Here is a 1,354-nt window from a genome sequence, read left to right as displayed (position 1 = left end):
TTGACTCTCTTTTTGGACTCAGCCCGCTTGCACCCAGGTGAAATACACAGCCTTGCTGCTCACACAAAGCCCGTTTGGTGGTCTCTTCACACGGACACATGAGACAAGACCTTGTCTCTACAAAAGAAAAATTTAAAAATTAGCCAAGAGTGGTGGTGCACACCCGAAGTTTCCGCTCTCGGGATGCTGAAGCATGAGGATTGCTTGAGCCCAGGAGTTTGAGGCTACAGTGAGCCATGATCATGCCAGTGCACTCCAGCCTGGACAACAGAGCGAGACCCTGTCTCAAAAATAAAAACAAAAAGAAAATAGGAATGATAAAAATTGCCATCTTCTTTTTCTCTTCTGGAAATGACACTTTGTGCCTATTATTTTTCCTCTAGGCACACACGTCCAGAAATCCACCAGGGATGGCTCTCTCTGTCCCCAGGGCCTGCTATAAAGAGTGTATTTGCTGATGAATTAAAACAATGGAGTGGGCAAGGTCATCTGTAAGTATTTACCGCTTGCCCATTTATAGTAGTCTTCTGGGCAATTGTCTGTCCTCTGTTGAGCTCAATCCTTTTTCTGCCGCCAACTTGGTATGTGTCCTTACTTAAGACCCTGCTCTCCATATTCAGTTTCCTCTTCTGGAAAGTAAAGACGTGAAGAAGGTGACATCTAAGGTCATACTCCATTCTAGAACTTTCCCACTCAGCGATTCAAAACACCTTTTAAATGTCATGTAAATAACATGTTGCTATAAATACAAGATATGAAAAAGAATATATTTGCCATGCCCAGTGTCAAAAATAAAATGGGTACAGTCATTCCACCGGGACATGGAAGAATGTCATGATGAGCAGGTTTGATGCCATCAAGATCAAAGTACCTTTTTCCCAACCCTCTCTGCCTTCCCTCATCCAGCAAGCCCTGGGATCCAGGCAAACCCTGGTAATTACTGAAATACATTTTGCTTTCTTTCTACTTCCTACATGAAAAAAAAAAGAAAAAAAAGTTGAGTAACAGAAATTTATTAGAGTTGGTTCCTTTTCCTGGGAGCCTTCAAGTTATCTTACATTATCTGAGAATGGGGGTGGGGGAGCCAGGAGGAAGGGAGAATGAATCCTAAGAACATTGACTCCAAATAATAGCAAAGTTGACTCTTTTACCCTAGAACCTTTGAGTTGTTTGAAGACCTACATCAGAGGCACAGCATTTAGTATAGGGATTTCTGAAGTTCCACCCCACCCACTATATCTTGTGAACTTCCCACACAATCAGTATAAATTGGTCAAGAAAAAAATAATAATCCTAGGTTGCCGGCGACAAGATACACAATTAAGATGTGTGTGGCACTAGTGAGGGTTAGAGA

At 42.2% G+C, this 1,354-nt stretch overlaps 1 annotated feature.

The window, feature by feature from the left end:
* Nucleotides 266-766: an enhancer, noted in NCBI's record as "H3K27ac hESC enhancer chr13:53530858-53531358 (GRCh37/hg19 assembly coordinates)". NCBI's record gives its function as "activates a minimal SCP1, AML or CMV promoter by ChIP-STARR-seq in naive H9 embryonic stem cells {active_cell/tissue: H9 hESC(naive)}" and the evidence as "EXISTENCE:reporter gene assay evidence [ECO:0000049][PMID:30033119]".

The sequence above is a fragment of the Homo sapiens genome, chromosome 13, assembly GCF_000001405.40.
Source record: "Homo sapiens chromosome 13, GRCh38.p14 Primary Assembly".
NCBI classification, from domain to species: domain Eukaryota; kingdom Metazoa; phylum Chordata; class Mammalia; order Primates; family Hominidae; genus Homo; species Homo sapiens.
Note: the sequence above shows the minus strand (reverse complement) of the source record. Positions and strands in the feature narration are given on the sequence as shown.